Source organism: Homo sapiens, chromosome 4 (assembly GCF_000001405.40).
Source record: "Homo sapiens chromosome 4, GRCh38.p14 Primary Assembly".
Classification (NCBI taxonomy): Eukaryota; Metazoa; Chordata; class Mammalia; order Primates; family Hominidae; genus Homo; species Homo sapiens.
This window is the reverse complement of record NC_000004.12, coordinates 143,961,028-143,981,296: the sequence shown is the minus strand read 5'-3', so window position 1 is coordinate 143,981,296 and position 20,269 is coordinate 143,961,028. Positions and strand designations below refer to the sequence as shown.

The following is a 20,269-nucleotide window of genomic DNA, read 5'->3' as shown; positions in this document are numbered from 1 at the left end:
GAAGTTACGAGTGCCAACTCTAGAGCTTACACATAAGCCTAATAAATGTTAGTAGAAATGAAGAATGACAAACTGTTCCAGATCACCCCAAAGGATATCCAGCTGTTTCCAGATTGCTAAGTCCGTAAAGGTATGCTCCCAGAGTTCTAACCCAGTACCAAGGAAAGATCTGGATTTACTCAATAAACCATGAGCATATATTCAACGCACACTTCCTCTCTGCCAGGCTCTGCACCAGGTAATATACTTTCTTAGGTAGTAATTATCAGATTTAAAGTGCTAATTATAGTTAACATATAATTAGACAAGCACACTAGAGGGCAGTGTCTGTTGGTAATGGTCAGTCTTTTAGGACCTTAGAGCTGCAGGTCAGGGTTCTAAGAAGTGAATCACTCTCTTTGATAATTATCAAACCTAACAACGACCATACCTCCTAAGCACATCTCAGTACTAAAGTTCATTGACTGTCAGACTTTTCTCAGTGTTTGCTCAGACAAAAGGAAGACGAGCTTTGAAAGCTGTGATGGGACTTGAGACACTCCTTTATATGCTAGCAGCATATAAACAAAATCACAAAAAATCTTGGCTTTCCACTGACCATCATCCCAGGTAACAGACCCTAAGCTAGGTTCATCACTTAGGCTATATCATTCAAATAACATAACTCAGTGAGGCTGGTACTTTCATTATCCCCATTCTTAAGATGACAAATAATTAAAATAAAATAAAAGAAGATGTGGCTTTAAAAGTAACCTGGCCAGGTCAAAAGCCAAGAGCTGAGAAAAGTTCCAAACACAAATTTTTCTAACTCAAAAGCCCATGCATGAGTTTACAACATGTCCAGGAGGGGCAACCTGAAATTAAGAAAGGCTGGTAATTTAGAATTCTGAATTGCAGGCAAAGGCCTCTTCTTTCATGTAACTTTCAGTAAAGACTGAGAGCTAGGATATAATGGACTATTCCAACTTGGTATCAGAGCTCTCAAAGGAAATGACATAAAACAGCTATTACAAGGCCAAATGTAAAAGAAAAATACGAAGAATTGACTTTTCAGAGCTATTCATTCTCACTCAGAGATGGAGTTGATATTAAACCCTTATTTATACTGGGTATGGAATCATACACATTGTTGAGATCTGGGTCTGATTACACCTATGGCACTGTGCAGTATATTTCAGTGTAAACAGAGTAAGTCTGAGTTTGATTTAGAGAAAAACAAAAAATACGCTAAAAAAATAAAAACTACATGTGAGGGGGAAATACCTCTCCTTTGGCCCCTTTGCTCCTGATCGGTGAGCATTTTTGCATTTTTCAAAGACATCAAAGGGTTGCTACAAGGCTTACCTTGCTCACAGGACTTTGGATGTATCTTCTAGTGCTGCTGAGAAGATGTGTCATGACAAGGCACATCCACCGTGGTGTGGTGTGTCAAACTTGAATCACTGGACTTGAGAAAAGAAGGCAGAGTTTGTGTTCTGTGCTGAAGATAGCCCATGTATTTCTCTTAGGGAGGAAAAAGTTTTCGAGGTTAAAAAAATTGAGAAAGTGGGTAAAGAAAAAAATAGGCTTTTAAAAAATATATAAACATCTGTAAAAATCCTATCTTAAAATATCAGTAATACAAGTAAATTAATGTACTAGTAGCAAGATTACCAATCTAATGCAAAGTCTATTCATTGCTCTTCATATGCCTATTCTATTCCACAAAGTTTTTGCAAGGTGGAATGACATGAAGAATATTGCTTGGAAAAATAGATGATCTAACTATAAGCATTTCTCAAGTATTCCTCTGCTGTCAGAATTTATAATGAATCTGCTTACTACCCTGGCCTCAGCCAAATTAATGCATAATTGCCTTTCTCCTTCCGGTGAGTCTCACAGATTACTACACCTTTTTTACCCAAGAAGTCCTATCCTATTGTATCCTATTGTATCTGCCTGAAGCAACTAGATTCAGCTCCATCAAAGGTATACCTTTCAAGAAAATACTCTTAAAAGTGAATTGTTTTAAAGATAAAAATGTATGCATTTTCTTTTTCTTCTGATCTTCTACCTTATGGTCTTCAGGTCCATTATAATATAGGTTTTAGGGTAATGAGTACATTACACCAATAGATTTGCTCACATATTTAAAGAAAAAGCATAGCCTAAACATGCATAATATTAAAAGAAACAAAGTAAAGACAGGCTATAAAAGTAAACAGGTCAGAATAAATTTTATGCATAACTACAGAAGCCACCAGCAGAGGATGCAGTCAAAGCCCTATCCTCGCTTGTCTCTGGTAACTGCTTCCCAGTCATGTCTTATCACTACCTTGTACTCGATGTAGCACAGCAAAGCAGCATTTGTCACTGACACAAGTGTATTCCAGGGCATCTAGAAAAAGGGATATGGAATTAGCTCTTTCTTCAGCAGTCATAGGTCTGAGTCTCTCTGCCTACCACTTTTCATCTATTTTACTGAAATTCAGTTTTCTGAGCAATTAAATTCTGGCTGAGAGAAATGTTTCTGCAATCCTTTTCAATATACTCACTTTCCAATGTAATCCCAAACTCTGACTGGGTTCCACATTATAAACCTAATTCCTTAAGATTTATAGTATCTTAAACTTTCTTTAATTAGACTTCCAAGTTGTAAAGGACTGAGATAATTACATTTGGAATGTTTATAACTCTCATAACTATGTGCAAAGAGATACTCTGTTATCAAAAAATGGCTAGATTAATGCCCAGTAGCTGTCAACTCATCTTTTGGGGGGTGGGGCAGCAATGCACCATACTAGTTAATTTTGAGTGGCAAGAAAATTTATTTCTTCTGAATGATTTACCAGGAATAACAGTAACACAAAAATAAAAAGGCTATACAAGTGCCAAGTAATTAAGCATGGTAATGGAATTACATCAGGCTGCCATGTGGGGTCTAGGCTTCAGCACAAGAATAGAAAATTGATTTATACTATCTAGGTGATCATGTCTTTACTTTACATATCTTCTGTTACCAATTTATAATACTTTAGTCTGCTTTTTTCCTAATATTATGCCAGCTAGAAGGCATTTGCTTTAACTTCTGTATTTGTAGTCTGTAAATGTACAGAAACTTTCTTGTCTTTCAGAGATACGTAGATAATATAAAGGATTAACTTTTCTCTACCCTGTACAAGTACTTATGTATTTGATTGATAAGTGTTTAAATTGAAAATCAGAAAATCAAGTTCTATTATCTGCCAATATTCTAAACAGAAGTTATAAAATATATTATTATGGGGATAAAAAATAGAATAGGGACCCAGTTTATAAAAGAACAGTGATTTACTATATCTCTGTTTATACATATTTTGAAGAACAGTGATTTACTATATTACTATTCATATTTAGTGTATCACTGTTCTACATACATATATATATATATCTCCTTCATGCCCTTTAGGACACTAGTACATTTGTGAGTAGAAACTTGGAAACAGAAATGATTTAAGGAAATCAGTTCTCTAGAACACACATCTCTTAAAAAGGCAATAATATCTTGGTGTCCAAGTGGCCCCAATTTAAAAATAATAGTTACTTACATGTTTTGTATTCTAATGGGTCTGCTACTCTTCCATTCTCCCACCTACCTTATCCCACAAAAGAATAGTCCATAGAGAGGTATTATGAATATGGGGGATATTTTTTCTCTTTTAATTTTTATGTTGTCTTCTAAATAAAAGGCATAAAGATTTATGTAAAATGGTAGGTGTAAACAGAATATAAAGTCAGCTCAACTGTAAGTATTAGAAGCTTCAGGATATTATTTTTCTAATTTTGAAGTTCAGAAATGTAGCAACAAAACCTCACTTGCAAGAACAGATGATCAAGTTTCAACAGATCATAGATCAGATCAAGTGAGAAAAAACATAAGATGACAACGATATCTCTATTTCCTATTCTAGAGAAATAAAGCTGAGATTTGGTCCTTAAAATCATGAAACTAAATTACAAAAATACATCTTCTCCTTTCTTCTGGTTTATTTTTCACAGGAGGGAAAAAAAGCCCTCGACTGGGAGGAATTTCTAGTGCAGAATCTGGAACCCCAGCAAGTTCTGATAGTTTCATGTGACATGATAGCATGTCACATCGTCAGGCACTCAGTGTGTTCTCGGCTTATTCACTTAGAAACCGGAGTCTGTACCAATCAAGATGTATTTCCAGCTAACCTAGGGGTTACCTTGAGTTGTTGACTGCCTGCAGCAAGAATGACAAAAACTTTTTCCAGTATTTTACAAGTATAATGTTAGACAACGTCATTTTTAAGGCAAGAACTAAATTGGAAAACTTAGCAATACACTAGAAAAAGAACGAGTTAAGAAAAAACAGAAATATGCCCTGTTAGGGTTAAGAAAACTGGCTCATATTATCCTGAATAAGATAAAGCTAATGGAAAAGTGTAAATTAGTCCAGTTAACCCTATGCTCTAGGCAAAAACAAAACAAAAACCTCTGTAAAGAGAAAACTCAGAATGTATTTCTCAAAATCCATTTGGCTCATAATGAATTTTTTCTCTTTTTATAGTAAACCAAGGAATTGTTCTAACTCAGTGAAAACTCAAAAAATAAGCTAAGAGAACAATCACACATACAAAATATTTGAATGTTAAATACATGGTGAAGATGTTTGACTTCATTTGAAGTGAGTCAAAACCTTCTTGAGAGGCAGATAACAATATGTCTTAAGACCCACTAGACTCAGTAAGTCCAGCTTTGAAATTTAAGAATGTGCACCAAGATTTAGCAAAAATTAGACGCTACCACAGTGTCCAAATAAATAAATAGAAACTTATTGAGTTCTGAAATATCCATAAAATGAAACACTCTGAAACTATTAAAAAATCATGTGAGAGAAGTTTATTGTAAAAGAAAGATATTCAAGATTAAAATAGAAATTTGACCCAACTATTTTATGTGTAATTTTTGGGTATGGCCATTTTTTTCCCAGCTTAACTGAGGGAAAATTGAAACACAAAACTCTGTATTTAAGGTGTACAACAAGGGTGTCCAATCTTCTGGCTTCCCTGGGCCACACAGGAAGAACTGTTTTGGACCACACATAAAATACACTAACACTAATGACAGCTGATGAGCTTAAAACAAAAACTGCAAAATAATCTCATAATGTTTAAAGAAAGTTTACAAACTTTCTTTGAATGTGTTGAGCCACAGTCAAAGCCTTCCTGGGCTTCATGCAGCTCATGGGCCGTGGGTTAGACAAGTTTTGTGTACAATGGGATGCTGTAACCCAGAACTGCCATTTCCCTAAGAGAAAGAGAACGAGTTATTTTTTAAATTTTTTTTTTGTTTTTTTCTCTTTCTTCCTCTGCCCCGTTCCCCACTTCCTACTTAACTCTTTAGAAATGCAATTAGAACCTCTACCTTCCCTTCACCAGACACTCCCTACAGGACAAGCTCATCTAACTGTGTGCATACCTAGAAGCCCCAGAGCCAGAAATCTCTCCCACCAGAAGATTGCCTCTAGAGACAAGAGTCAATTTACAACCTAAAGTTTGCCCACAGGAAACTCTATCCCATCTGGAGAGTATCTCCAGACCACAGCCACCTTACAGTCTAGCACTAGCTCAACCACTGGGTAGATAAGGCAACAAACCAAGTCACCTAGACCCCCAACTGCTCCTTCCCTGCCTGTCATTCATGCCAAGTTCCCCTTTAAAAGCTCTGGCTTTCTGCCCCAAAAGTGAAGCAGTGCCTTTAAAGGCAAGAGCCTGGACTTCTTTCCACAAGCTAAGCTTTGGATTAAAAAGTCACTTTCTTTATATCAGACCTCACTCTTGTAAACTGGACTCGGCAAGCATCGAGTGACTGAATCTGCAATTGAGTTACAATGCTTTGATATACGTAAATATTGTGAAGTGATATCAAGTTAGTCAACACCTCCATCACTTCACATAGTTACCTGGGCGTGTAGTGAGAACTTTTAAGGCCTGCTCTTTTAGCAGATTTCAAGGATACAATACAGAGAGTTCTCTACTTAAAATTTTTCAATTTTAAGATTGTGTAAAAGTCAGTCAGTAGAAACTGCATTTTAAGTACTCATATAACCATTCTGTTTTTCACTTTCAGTACAGTATTCAATAAATTACATGAGATATTCAGCACTTTATTACTAAATAGGCTTTGTGTTAGGTGATTTTGCCCAAGTACGCCAATATAAGCGTTCTGAGCTTATTTAAAGTAGGCTAGGCTAACCTATGATATTCTGTAGCCTAGGCGTATTAAATACATTTGTAAGTTACAACAAGCTTGTCAAAACCATGGCCCATGGGCAACATGCAGCCCAGTATGGCTTTGAATGAGGCCCAACACAAATTTGTAAATTTTCTTAAAACATTATGAGATTCTTTTGTGTGATTTTTCTTAGCTCATCAGCTTTCGTTAGTGCTAGTGTATTTTATGTGTGACCCAAGACAATCCTTCCAGCGTGGCCCAGGGAAGCCAAAAGATGGGACACCCCTGAGTTACAATATTTTCAGCTTACGTTGAGTCTGTTGGAACATAACTCCATTGTAAGTCAAGGAACATCTGTACAGTATTATTAACTATTGTCATCATGCTGCATATTAGATTCCCAGAACTTACTCATCTTGTAAGTGAAAGTTTGTACTCTTTGACCAACATGATTTGGGTGACATTACATGGCCCTAAAGAAATAATTTTAATTTCATCTTTGTAAAAAGTCAGTCATATATATAACCAAAATTTTACCTCATCCCTGGCATTCACCCCTGGAGCCTACAGAGTAAGCAATGTGGTGGGCAGAAGTAAGTCCAGACAATACAGTAAGGGAGTCTGCAATATAAAGCTAGAGTGACAAAGTACATGAGGTTTTAAATGCACACAGCATCAGAATAGGTGTGTGTATACTCATTCAATTTATTAAGAAAGAAAAAGTATCAAATAGCTAAAAAACATATTTCACATTAAAACTGCATATTCGTACAAATGGTGAAACCCTTATCTCTGCATACCAGTCACATAGAAATAAGAGAATGAAGCCAGTATCACCCTAATCGCCAAACCAGGAAAGGACATAACAAAAAAAGAAAACTACAGACCAATATCCCCAGTGAACATAGATGCAAAAATCCTCAACAAAGTATTTGCTAACCAAATACAGCAGCACATCAAAAAGATAATACACCACGATCAAGCGGGTTTCACCTCAGGGATGCAGGGATGGTCTAATGTATGCAAATCAATAAATGTGATACACTACATAACCAGAATTAAAAACAAAACCATATGATCATCTCAATAGATGCAGAAAAAGCACTTGATAAAATTTAGCATCGCTTTATGATTAAAAACTCTCAACAAACTAGGCATAGAAGGTACTTACCTCAAGTTAATAAAAGCCATATATGACAAACCCACAGGCAACATCATACTAAATGGGGAAAAGTTGAAAGTGTTTCCCCTGAGAACTGAAACAAGCCCAGGATGCCCACTTTCACCCCTTCTATTCAACATAGGACTGGAATTCCTGGTCAGAGCCATCAGTCCAGAGAAATAAAGGGCATCCAAATCAGAAAAGAAGAATTACAACCTCTATGGAAAACAGTATGGAGATTTCTTAAGAAACTAAAAGTAGATCTATCCTTCAATGCAGCAGTTCTACTACTGGGCATCTACCCAAAGGAAAAGATACCACCTTACTCCTTGCAAGAATGGCCATAATTAAAAAGTCAGAAAACAATAGATGTTGACCTGGATCTGGTGAAAGTGGAATGTTTATACACTGCTGGTGGGAATGTAAATTAGCACAACATCTATGGAAAACGGTATGGAGATTCCTTAAGAAACTAAAAGTAGATCTAACCGTTTGATCCAGAAATCTCACTACAGGGTATCTACCCAAAGGAAAAGAAATCATGATATGAAAAAGACACATGAACACATATGTCTATTGCAACCCAATTCACAATTGCAAAGATATAGAACCAATGTAAGTGTCCATCAACCAATGAGTGGATAAAGAAAATGTGGTATATACGCACCATGGAATACTACTCAGCCATAAAAGGAATGAAATGTCTTCTGCAGCAACTTGGATGGAGCTGGAGGCCATTGTTCTAGGTGAAGTAACTCAGGAATGAAAAACCAAACACTGTATGTTCTCACTTAGAAGTGGAAGCAAAGCTATGAAGTACACAAAGGCAAATAGAGTTATATAATGGACTTTGGAGACTCAGAAGCGGGAGGGTGGAAGAGGGGTGAGGGACAAAAAACTACACATTGGGTACAATGTACACAACTCGGGTGAGGAGTGCACTAAAATTTCACAATTCACCACTATGTATTTCATCCACGTAACCAAAAACCACTTGTACCCAAAAAGCTATCGAAATAAGAAAAATATAAAAACAAAAAATATACAAAATGTATTAATAAGTGAATAATTCTCTAACACAAAAGAGCGAAAGTTCTGTATACCACTAGCAGCGGTGTCCTAAAAGAAACAGGCAACTAGGATATATAGCAGTATTTGGGTGTGTGAGAGTCAAAATATCCTCATCCATAAAAGAACACCATGAATTTGAAACAAGTTACATAACTGGTTTTATATGAAGTTCTAAGTTGTCATATATAACATATGTTACATGATTATACATATAATAATAAATTGTCAATATAAATTACCAGAATTGGCCTGAGAAAAAGTGGACAAAAATGAAAAGGCTAATTATGAAAAAAGAAATTGTTAAAGGCTAACTACCAAAACTTTATAACAAACATCACACTTAACAGAGAAACTGTAGATGTATTTTTAAGACTAAGAAAAAATAATATTAGCTATGACATATGTACAATTCCTACTTAGAAGGATAAAGTCAAGACAAAGAAATAAAAATTTTAAATTATTAATATTATTTTTGATTGACAAATTGCAATTATATACATTTATGGGATACAATGTGATGTTTTGCTACATGAATACAATGTGGAATGATTAAACCAAACTAATTAATATATTCATCCCCTTGATTACCCATTATTTTTTATGGTAAGATATTTCAAATTTGTTCTTAGTTATTTTGAGACATAAATACATTATTATTGGCTATAGTCACCCTGCTGTGCAATAGATCTCAAAAACCTATTCTTCCTTTTATGTGAAACTTTGTACCCTTTGATCAACAGCTCCCCATTCCCTCCCTCCCCCACACCCTACCCTCTGGAGACAACCATCCTACCTCCTTCTTGAAGTAAAACATACATATGAAGTATTCCATTAAAATAAGAAATACACAAAATTGCAGCAAAATCAAAGGCAACTTCTATCAGCATGTAATTGGGGCCTTCAAGTAAGGTATAAAGTGTCAGATAGGTTGCTAAGTAGTGAGCATTATGAGTACAGCACCTGAGCACCCAACATATTTTTAGGACATGTTCTAATTTGTATAAGACAAGAATATTTAATTTTTAAAACTACAGTAGGAGAGAGCTTGAGAGCCCATCTTTTTGGCAATGTCAATATGATGCCTCTACTTCTGATCAGAGGCCATCTATTCTGAAAAACACCATCTGTCTTCTTCCTACTCTTCTTGTCACCCAGCCTGAACTTTCCCAGCTGCCTCATCTTCCCATCCCCTCCCTTAAGCACCCAATTTCAGGTGAAGTAAGAAAGGAAATATTTTGTTAGAGAGTTAGTGATAAGAAAGCAATTCTTTTTCTGCCCCTCTTCCTACCATATAATATATAATGATATATAGGTATCTAATATATATTCTAAAAAGCATTTCACAAAGCAACAGAACATCAAACCACAGAATTTTATAAAGCAAGGTCATTTTCTGTTTTCAAAACTATGTAGAGTGACATTTGCCAATTTGTGGAAGCCCCTCTCCACCTTGAGCCAGAGTCCTCTCCCCATTTCCAACTCTGCCTCTGCCAAAATTGAAGAGGACACCTGAGATGCTAGACAGATTTCAATCATCCTAAGTTCCACAAAGTCTTGTCCAAATCCAACATTGTTTTGCCCTTTCTAGAATAATGCTTTTTGTTTTTATTTGGAATAATATTGATTTATCACATGAATTATTGTCCCCACTTTTCTCAAGTGAAGAAAAAGGGCCCTAATCATATTTTTACCTAAGTACTAGTTTAAGATGAAATGAAGAATCAATACACCAAGGATTTCTTAGCAGGGGTAAGCTTAGGGTAGGGAGCTTGTACAGAAATTAGAGAGTATGTAATCACGTTTTGACACACGCTCATGAATCCAGAATCAATACATTGAAATAAAGCCAGATCATTAGTTTCCTTTGTAAACTTAGACTTAACTAAATGATTTGGATGAAATTCAATACACAGTTTTGGTTCTAAAACCACATGATGTAAACAGTATTTCACGTAGCAACAGAACATCAAACCAGATAATTATACAAAGTAAGGCCTTTTCTTGTGTTCAGAAAGTCTTTGCATTAGCCTCAACATTTCCGACATTCCCACAAAGAAATGAAAATTTGGAAATGGCATAAAATTATTTAGTATTAATTGAAATCAAGCCCCATTTTGTTAGCACTTGAAAATTAAGTGTGTAGCTATTTGGGAAGATGAGTTGCATTTATGTTGATGTTTATGTTATGTAGACCACATGATGAGTTTTGACTAATGACCCAATATGTTGTTCCTTGTCAATTTACTTAACCTATTTACACCTTTTTCCTGGCCAAAACTTCTCACATATATAGCTCCGGTTTACTCAACTGACTGTGGAGCCGACTTGATCATAGATTTGGCAGGCAACCAGCCCTTCTCCCCTTCCCTGAGATCACCTTATACTTCCTCCAATGAGAGTTGAAACAACTTCTTTCCTAGGAACTGGAAGTTAAAAGCATATCAGAATTACATAACTAGCAAGAAAATGTTTCACCATCTAAAGTGATACTTCCAATTTACAGAACCCTCCCCCTTTGAGCCAGAGTCCTCTCCTATTTTTACCTTCTCCCCCTTCCAGAATTGCAGAGGATATTTGAGATACAAGAAAGTGGCCATGACCCACAATGAGCACTCAGATCTACATGGGGACTCTGGCTAAGCCAGTCATCCAAGATCGTTCTAGTTATTATTATTCTTTTAGAATAGCTCTGACTTGATTAAATATATTTTATAATGCTTTAATGAAAATGTGATGCCATTTTTGGAATGTTACTGGGTAACTTGGTCACTGGCTATAATTTTATCATTGATTATAAGTAACTATAATTACTAGGAATCGGAGAACTGAATGATATATGGTAAAGCACTGGACTGGCAAATTTGGGTTCTCATACCATCCCTCCAAGATATTTGCTCGGTTTCCTTAGTTAATTATGTTAACCTCTCTGAACCTCAGTACACTCATTGGTAAATAAGGGACGATGTTAACTCTCCCACCTACTATATGGTTCTTGTGAGGGTCAAATGACAGACTCCAAAGTAATTTGAAATCTACAAAGCACTTTGCAAATTCAACAAGTTATTTTGTATACCCTTAGAGATATAACTTATCAAAAATTTTAAGCCAAAAATAATTAAAGAAAAAACGTTGCTACTGAGAAGCAGCCATAAATTTCTAGTTTACCATCCTTACAGTTTATGATTTAAATATGTTTTTATATGTGGATTGGATATGTAAAAGGAAAAGTTGTTTCTACATCAATCATATCTTTCTTTGGGTTAAAAAGCATCACAAACCATTTAAATAACTTCACATTTATCTTTATCTCCTCTTTCTCCCACACGCTCCATATCCAGCCAATCAAATCAGCGAGTTCTCCTGAGATGTCACTTCATCTGTCTCCCCTCCCTCACACCTACTGGTACTCTCCACATAGGCCTATTTTAGCTAAAAGTGGCTTAGGGAGAAAAAAAATAATTTACTTATAAATTTTTAAATTTCAGAAGTAACTTATAGCTTCAGGCATGTTTGGATTTAGGAGTTTTAAACAATATTGTCCTGACTCTGTTGTCTCCATCAAAGGGTTCTGCTTCCCCGGCTTTCTCTCACAGGTCCTGCACGTACAAAGGCAAAAAAGGCCATTAGCAGCTCTGGCCTTAAATCTACCAGCTGAGAAACCTCAGTGGAAACAATATCACTTTCCCACTAACTTTCATAGAAGTCCGGTGCTGACACTCTTTGGGCTGACTAGGGTCCCATATCTTTCTCGGACTCAAGCCCTCTGATAGGAGAGATGGAACATAGTCATGGGCCAGCCTGAGTAGCATGCCTGCCACACCTACCCACCCACCTCCCATTCTTAGACCCCAGAAACTGGGTTTATCCCACCGAAAAACACAAGGACTGACAGTGGCATTCCACTTCTCAGAAGTGGCTTTCCAAATAATAATAATAAATAATATTAGGAAGAAGGAGAAATAGAGGCTGGTCAAGCAAGGCATCTGTCCATTATACCCTCCTTGCCTAGGTCCTCATAATCTACTATCTCCCTCCAGATTTAATAAAATTGATCTAAGAGTAAGTAGAAGAAACCACATGTACGTGTAAGAGGTATACAAGAGGGGGCTATTTAACCAATGAACAATAAGAAAAACAAAGTAAAATTTAAAAAGAAAAAAAAATCATTTGTTTGAAGGCATGGGAGAGCTTCCAAAGTGATAAGAATCTGAGGTGTCAAGATCCTGGAGAGAAGAGAAAAGTAGAAAGGTGAGACAAATTCTGAATGTCACTTACCCTTAACGGCATTTGCCAATTCTAAATATGGGCTGGAATATTAATAATCCTCAGCCCCTGCTAAAAGGCAGATAATCTAAGAGAGCTCTTGATCATTCATAAATCGAGGTAGACAAAAAATTATAGTTTGATGCTGTGAAGGCAGCCAGGATTTCTGAGTACAAGCCTGGAAAGAAGAGAGGTGCGAAAATGTAAGCATAATACTAAGGTCGTTTTCCTATAAAGGCATTTTCTGAAGTAAGCTGATTAGAGTGAGAGGCTAGGAAGCCAAGCATACAGCCGTTGAAAATCAAATTAGAGTTTTTAAACATCTTTTAGTGCTGAGAAGACAAAACTGGAGGCCATGACTCACTAAGGGAGAGGGGCAACAGAGAACACTTCATACTCTCATTCGAGACCTTTAGGGGCTATAGCACTCCAGGAAACCAATCTTAAGAAGACTGAAACCCAGCATTTCATCTTCTCGTTTACTTGATTAAGGTGATTTGCCTCCACTATAGCTTCCAACCAAAGGACAGGGCAAACTCTCTCAGGAAAGCTATAACACAATCCACATCATCCCTGGTTTTTTATATTCAGTATCTGGCATTCAACAAAAATCTACCAGGTATACAAAATATAGCAATAACTCAACAAATAGGAAGAACACAAAAAAATCAACAGTGGGAAAAGACTCACAGATGATGCAGATATTGTCCTTAGCAACACAAAATTAAAATAAGTGCTTAAAATGTTTAGGAAATAGAGGGTAAGATGGGGAGTTTCATCAAAGGAATAGACTTAATAATCATATAGAAATTTGAGAACTGCAAAATAAAGTAACAAAAATTAAGAATTTGATATATGGATTTAATAGCAGTTTGGATATAGCAGAATAAAGAGTTAATGGACTAACATCAACTGGAAATGTAGGCAGACGTAGACAGATTTTAAAATATGTTTTGTGGCCAGGCACAGGGACTCACGTCTGCAATCCCAACACTTTGGGAGGCTAAGGTAGGCGGATTGCTTGAGCCCGGGAGCTCAAGACAAGCCCAGGCGACAAAGCAAGACCCATTTCTTAACTAAACAATTAGCTGGGTGTGATGGGATCTGCCTGTAGTCCCAGCTACTCAGAGGGCTGAGGCGGGAAGATCGCTTGTGCTCAGGAGTTCTAGATTGCAGGGAGCCGTGGTTGTGCCACTGCACTCCAGACTAGGCAACAGAGTAAGACCCTGTTTCTAAAACACAAAAAAATGGGGTTTTTAAAATTATAATTAAAAGTCAATAATGTTCTTTATTGTTGGAAGAAAGGAAAAGTACAAATGAGTTTTATTCAAACAAAAACAAAATGGGACAAAAAAGAAAGATGATATGAGTGGAAGAAATATTCCTCTAAGCAAGGACCCATTACCTGGGTCCAGACTGGGGATGGAAAGGTTCTCTACATGACTGTGTTTTCTTTGCAGAAGATGTATTTTTCTGTATGCTGTACTCTTCTATAAGCTGGAAAACAAAAGTAAAATTGATACTTAGATCATACTAAAGCTAATAATTAGGAAAGCTTATGACAATTAAAGGACACTGTTATGCTTTGAATGGTTGTCCCCTCCAAAACTCATGTTGAAACTTAATCTCCAATGTGGCAGTATTGAGAAATAGGGCCTTTAAGAAGTGATTGGGTCCTAACAGCTCTACCCTTATGAACGTAAGACTCTATTAATGGATTACTGGGTTCTCATGGGAGTGAGACTGGTGGCTTTATAAGAAGAGAAAGAGAGACTTAAGTTACCACACTCAGCCACCTCACCATGTGATGCCCTGTACCACCTCAGGACTCTGCAGAGTCCCCACCAGCAAGAAGGCCCTCACCAGATATGGCCCCTCGACCTTGGGTTTCTCAGCCTTCATAACTGTAGGAAATAAATTCCTCTCCTTTATAAATTACCCAGTTTCAGGTATTCTGTTATAAGCTACAGAAAACAGAAAAAGACAGACTCTTACTAATGAATCTAAAGAGTATAAGCACTGAAAAGACCTTAGTGTTAAAACTCCTGAAAATTAGGAAGGGGATACATACTGAGAACTGGTTTTTGTGCATGGTGTAAATACGCAACATGAACTCAGAATCAGAAGAAAAATGAGAGTTCAATTATGTAGTCTATTAATTTAGATTCTGAGCAAGCCATACGAAAAGATTTCAATGGCCGGGTGTGGTGGCTCACGCCTGTAATCCCAGCACTTTGGGAGGCCGAGGTGAGCGAGATCACCTGAGGTCGGGAGTTCAAGTCCAGCCTGACCAACAGGAGAAACCCCGTCTCTACTAAAAATACAAAATTAGCTGGGCATGGTGGCACACGCCTTTAATCCCAGCTACTTGGGAGGCTGAGACAGAAGAATTGCTTGAACTGGGGAGGTGGAGGTTGAGGTGAGCCAAGATGGTGCCATTGCACTCCAGCCTGGGCAACAAGAGCGAAACTCCATCTCAAAATACAAAAAAGAAAAAGAAAAAGAAAAAAGAAAACAGAAAAGATTTCAAGTGTAAGCAATTTATTTTTAGAGAATTAAGCATTAGGAGAGTACATAAGTGAAACTGGCCAAGGATAAAAGTTGTATTACGAAGCCAGCTACCATTGTGCACTACCAGTGCCTAATACGTTAGAGCTCTGGAAAATTGTATAAAATATACGCCTACAAATTATCCAACTAGAGGGATAAGAAAGCTGGCATTTTCATAAACCAACTCCTATCATTTATTGTTTGAGGATTGAATTGAATATGTCAAGTGGAGACAGGGCTAATTCCCTAGAACCTCCAGCCTGGAGTTTGCATGGGCAGACTGGTCCTTTATTTAGTAGAAGGAAAACCTTGGGAAGAGGATACAAATACTGACAGTTGGAAGTCACTGTCTCCTTGGAGCATGCTGAAATAATGAAGTCCAAAGAATATGGGTGAGGTACTGTCCCATATTAAATACGGGCGAGATCATTTGGCAGGCTGATGGCAGTAATGGCCCAACACTTAACTTCTTCCTGTATCTATGCCCTTTGCCATGTGACTTTGCATTTCCTCTCACTATAGAGGAGTGTACTTCTTTGCGCTTTGATTCTGAGTTTGGCCATCTTACACGCTTTGGCCAACAGGACAAGAGCAGATGCATGCAGAGGCTTGAAAAAATCTTTCACACTAACAGTCTCTTAATCCTCTGACTTTGCTGTGACACATACCTGGACTAACCTACTAACCTACTGAAGGTAAAACAGAACCAGGTTATCTCAATCATCCCAGATGAGTTATACTAGATCAGCTAATATGCAACCCATTTCCATGCATGTGAGACCAGAAGAACCAAGTTGCTGGCCCACAGACTCATGCACTAAATAAATTTTTATTGTTTCAAGAGGCATTTTGTGTTGTTTATTATGCAGCATTATTATGGCAATAGGTAATTAGTACCTATAAGGAACGTGCTACTGTAGCATAAAACAGACATATGTGGAATTAGCTTTGGATGAAGTAGGTAGCAAACAGAAGCTGGAAAAGTGTCAATGATACCACTAACAAAGCCTGGAAAAATGATGAGGCAACTCTTAGAACAAAGTGAAAAAATGATCACCCATGCTACGTCGGCATGAAACATCTGTTAGAACTGGTCACTTAAAATAACTTGAAGATGCAAAATGTACCTTACGAATTTTTGGACTTGATCTCCAGGCAGAATGTTGAAAATGTCAGCTGACTCTTACTAGTTGTATGTAAAGTACTACAAGAAAGAAACAAATGTCGACAAAAACACACACACAGTTTACAAGGAGAATATGAGGAATTAAGAGATGCTAGAATTTATTAGAATAGAAACTAAAGTTGTTTTTCATCTTTGCTGTCTCAGGCCAGAAAAATATTTTCACATTAAGATTGGCCTCAAGGTAAAGATAAAAATCAAGGGTGTGGCCATGAGACTTTGAAAGAATTAAGCCAGTGCCTAGAGATGCTCTCAGCTGGAAAGAACTTTCAGGAAAATTTAGGGTATTGTTCCTCAATAGCCAGTACCCAAAAGAGCAGTGGTTAAGTGTAAAAGCAGAACTGTAATCAGGCTAGGGAGGCTATTATACTATGGATCAGGATCAGGCAATCTCCTTCTCTCCCTGTTTCTCTTCTTCTGTCTTCCTCTTTCTTTCTCTTCCTCTACCTTTTCCTCCCTCTTCCTTTCCCCCTCAATTTTCCTCCCTCTCAGCTTTATAGACATCCCCAAGGCACGGGCTAGAATGAGACTCAAGTTGGAATCAGAAATTTCATACCTCCTATCCACTTCCACTGCAACCTCTTAAAACCAAATCAAAGATGTATTGGTAGATCAGCTTTGTCATATTGTTAGTTGGAGGCTTCATTTCTGATTCCCTATGCCCTTTGATGTTAATATAACTCAGTATCTAACAGTTAACAAAGCAACAACAGTAAGGGCGTGCTGCCCAGGCGATATGATGCAAGGGAAGGACATTGAAATAGTCAAGACTTTCAACTTCAGGGGTGGGAGTTGTTCAGAGAGAACCCTGGAACGATGCCCTTTTCAGAAATATATTTGAGAGGCTGAAGAATGGAGGCTGAAAGATTCATTTGTTTATCACTTTTGACCAGAGAAGTTGTCCGCATGTGTGTAAACAGCAAACAGCTCCAGGTCTTACAGTTGGCCCTCCACACCACACTATTTTAAAATAATGAGTACTATCATTTTCCAAGAGTAACACCTGGCTTACAATTACTAGCAACACTGCAGGTCAGAAAAACAGACTGCTTTTCTGAATGCAACTTGAAAAACTCCTTTTTGATTTCTGTAGCCAGAGGCAACAGAGCTAATAAGTTTCAAACACTACAGGCTCCAGAGAGCTGTAGTTTTTTTCTTTCTTAGTTGGAAGAGCACATATGAAATAAAAATAAGTATAAAATTCTGCCACGAAGAAAGTTACATTTCTAGCCCACAATTTTTTTAAATCTTAATAATAATAATGATAATGATAATAATGAAAATCTAAATGTCACATTGATTGGCAAAAGAGAAAAGGCCATGCCTTCCGACTCTAAGTCCAGTGCTCCTTCCACTGCCAGCTCATTTGACTGGATAGATTAGATACTATAAAGATAATTTCTACTCTAAAAGTTTTCAAGTAAGTTTTTTCAATATATACACTTTTTAACTTTAGAAATGGAGTCTCATTCTGTCACCCAGCCTGGAGTGCAGTGGTATGATCATAATTCACTGTAACCTTGTACTCCTGGGTTCAAGTGATCCTCCCCCTCAGGCTCCCAAGTAGCTAGGAGTACAGACATGTACCACCACACTCAGCTAATTTTTTAATTTTTTGTAGAGATGGGGTCTTGCCATGTTGCCCAGCTTTGTCTCAAACTTCTGGCCTCGAGCAATACTCCCATCTTGGCTCCCAAAGCACTGGGATTACAGGCAGAGCCTATAATCTCTATGTAATCTCTTCTGGCCTCAATATTGAGATCCTGTAAATTGTTATTTGGGGGTGAAAAAAAAGCATGTTACAAATAGTATGTCATATGATCACATATTCAGAACACTCTTTTAAAAGTCTAACATAATTGACAATTGAACTAATTATATTCATATTAAGCTGAAGACAATTCATCAATTAATTTATCAAAAGCAATACCTAAATGGAAGGGACAGCTAGTATTCGATGATTCTCTGAAGAATACAGATGAAGAAAAACTACTGCTTTTTCACCAAATGTCAGTCAGACTAGTCATTAAAAGAGGCTTCTGAGGGGGAGTCATCAAATAATATCCCAAAATTGAATGACTGAGAATACAGTCTGACAAATTATTATTGAAAATATTATAATCTAAGTCTCTAAGATAGCCTTATAAGGAACTGAGAAATTCTACAATGCTTGGAATAAACACACTTGGAAAAAACTCCCAATGTACAGGTAAACCCATATCTAAATCATGCTGGTAAGAAGTGTTGTTTATTAACTTGGGGCAGAAATAATGTTCAAAAACTTTAACCCCTTTGACCACATGGTACCACTCAATCAGAATGAATACTTGGTAACGCAATGTATTTAACACAAGCCAGTTAAATATCAACCATGGTTTTAGGTAGCAGTAGTAAACTGAGTTAAGCAATAACCATATTCTACCTGAACCCCACTAAACCCTTAAAATAAGTGCTTAAAAGAGTAAAAGTATATAATCCACAACTGATCATATTGAGAGATGTTCCAGTGTTGAAGCTATAAACCCATAGAACATTTCTGGTCCAAGGGCTAGTTTTGTTTGTCCTGCACGGCATTTGTTTAATGTCAATTAATTGACAATATTTTGTAAACAGTAGACTTCATACAAAATATTTTTACTTCTCTTGAAATATCAGAAGGTCCACGAATAATGGCCCACAACTCCTCATGACAACAAAATAGTTAGCAGCATTTTTTCTCATTTTTGTTTTTGTTATTTCAGAAAGGGCATGCTCCCTGTGTTGATGCAGTTGCCCCCCTCCTGGGCTTTGTTCTACACATGGATGTAACCTGCCACACACTGGTAGACACTAAGTTTGGAACGCATGTAATGTTCAACTAGCCAAACAAGGGAAAATAGCATCAAGCTTACCATTAATTTAAGTCACCTTTTGCAAAACTACTTTACCCCATATGTTTTTTAACCGACTGATTGAACTGTCAGCAAAAGTAGGAAACAGCATCACAGGTAAATAAGCGACTTGGAAAGGAATATAAATACTATGTACAGGCTGTCTATAAAAACCAGGGTAGAGAATATTTTATTATGCTAGTAGAATAGTGTTTGCTGTGTCATTTCCTTACAATTTATCACAATGCTCCTACACACAGAGTCTAAACAATGTGCCCTTGAATTACAGTAGAAATTGGATTTCAGATTAACAATTTCTTATCTCCTAACAATTCAGACTTTTAAATTTTGCTAACTAAGACTTTAGCTCGGCTGTAGTTGACCGAAGAATTGGAAACTCAGTTATCAGTTTGCTGTAAATCTTTTTTTGCCTCAGAAACACACTTTTGGGGGACATTAGAAAGAAGACTGATTAGAGGCACCTGGTGCTCATCCTCCCCACAAGAAAGAAGCAAGGCAACAAATAAACAGATAAGATTTGGATGGTGTGTCAAAGGAAGAACACTGGAGTGCAGAGAGGGAGTGGAGATGCACCTGTGGTGATTGAAAGTCCAGGAGGACAGCATGGAGACACTCAGCCTCTGTGGTCCCATCTTCCCTACCCGGATCATATCCAGCCAGAATCAGGAGGGACTTCCTGTTGCAGGAGAAAGATAAGGAGAAGAACCGCACCAGCCACCATTGCGACCACAAACACTTACAGTCCTTGTAAGACAATTTCACAGTCCTTGCAAGCCCAGAGCCCAGTTTGGAGAGATACCCAGAATTCTCACAGCTGCATTGCGCTGGATTAGGAGTACAAAGTGTGCACTCCTTATTCCCCACCCATGCCCTGTGAGCCAAGCTGCTGCAGCGTGGCACTATCTCAAGACTAGAGATGACTCTGTAGTATGC

The 20,269-nt window shown here is 37.3% G+C and overlaps 2 long non-coding RNA genes across 2 annotated transcripts in view; both read right to left on the bottom strand.

Moving 5' to 3' along the window:
• The window catches only part of LOC101927636 (uncharacterized), a 70,124-nt gene that overhangs the window by 1,158 nt on the left and 48,697 nt on the right, over window positions 1-20,269 (bottom strand). Inside the window, exons 4-6 of the long non-coding RNA NR_125886.1 lie at window positions 10,759-10,872; window positions 8,046-8,187; window positions 1,345-1,447 (exon numbers count right to left, since the gene is read on the bottom strand). This is a non-coding gene — a long non-coding RNA (uncharacterized LOC101927636). The remainder of the gene's footprint in view (window positions 1-1,344; window positions 1,448-8,045; window positions 8,188-10,758; window positions 10,873-20,269) is intronic.
• LOC105377459 (uncharacterized) overlaps window positions 11,920-20,269 on the bottom strand; it is a 125,977-nt gene continuing 117,627 nt past the window's right edge. The window contains exon 10 of the long non-coding RNA XR_001741861.1: window positions 11,920-12,045. This is a non-coding gene — a long non-coding RNA (uncharacterized LOC105377459). The remainder of the gene's footprint in view (window positions 12,046-20,269) is intronic.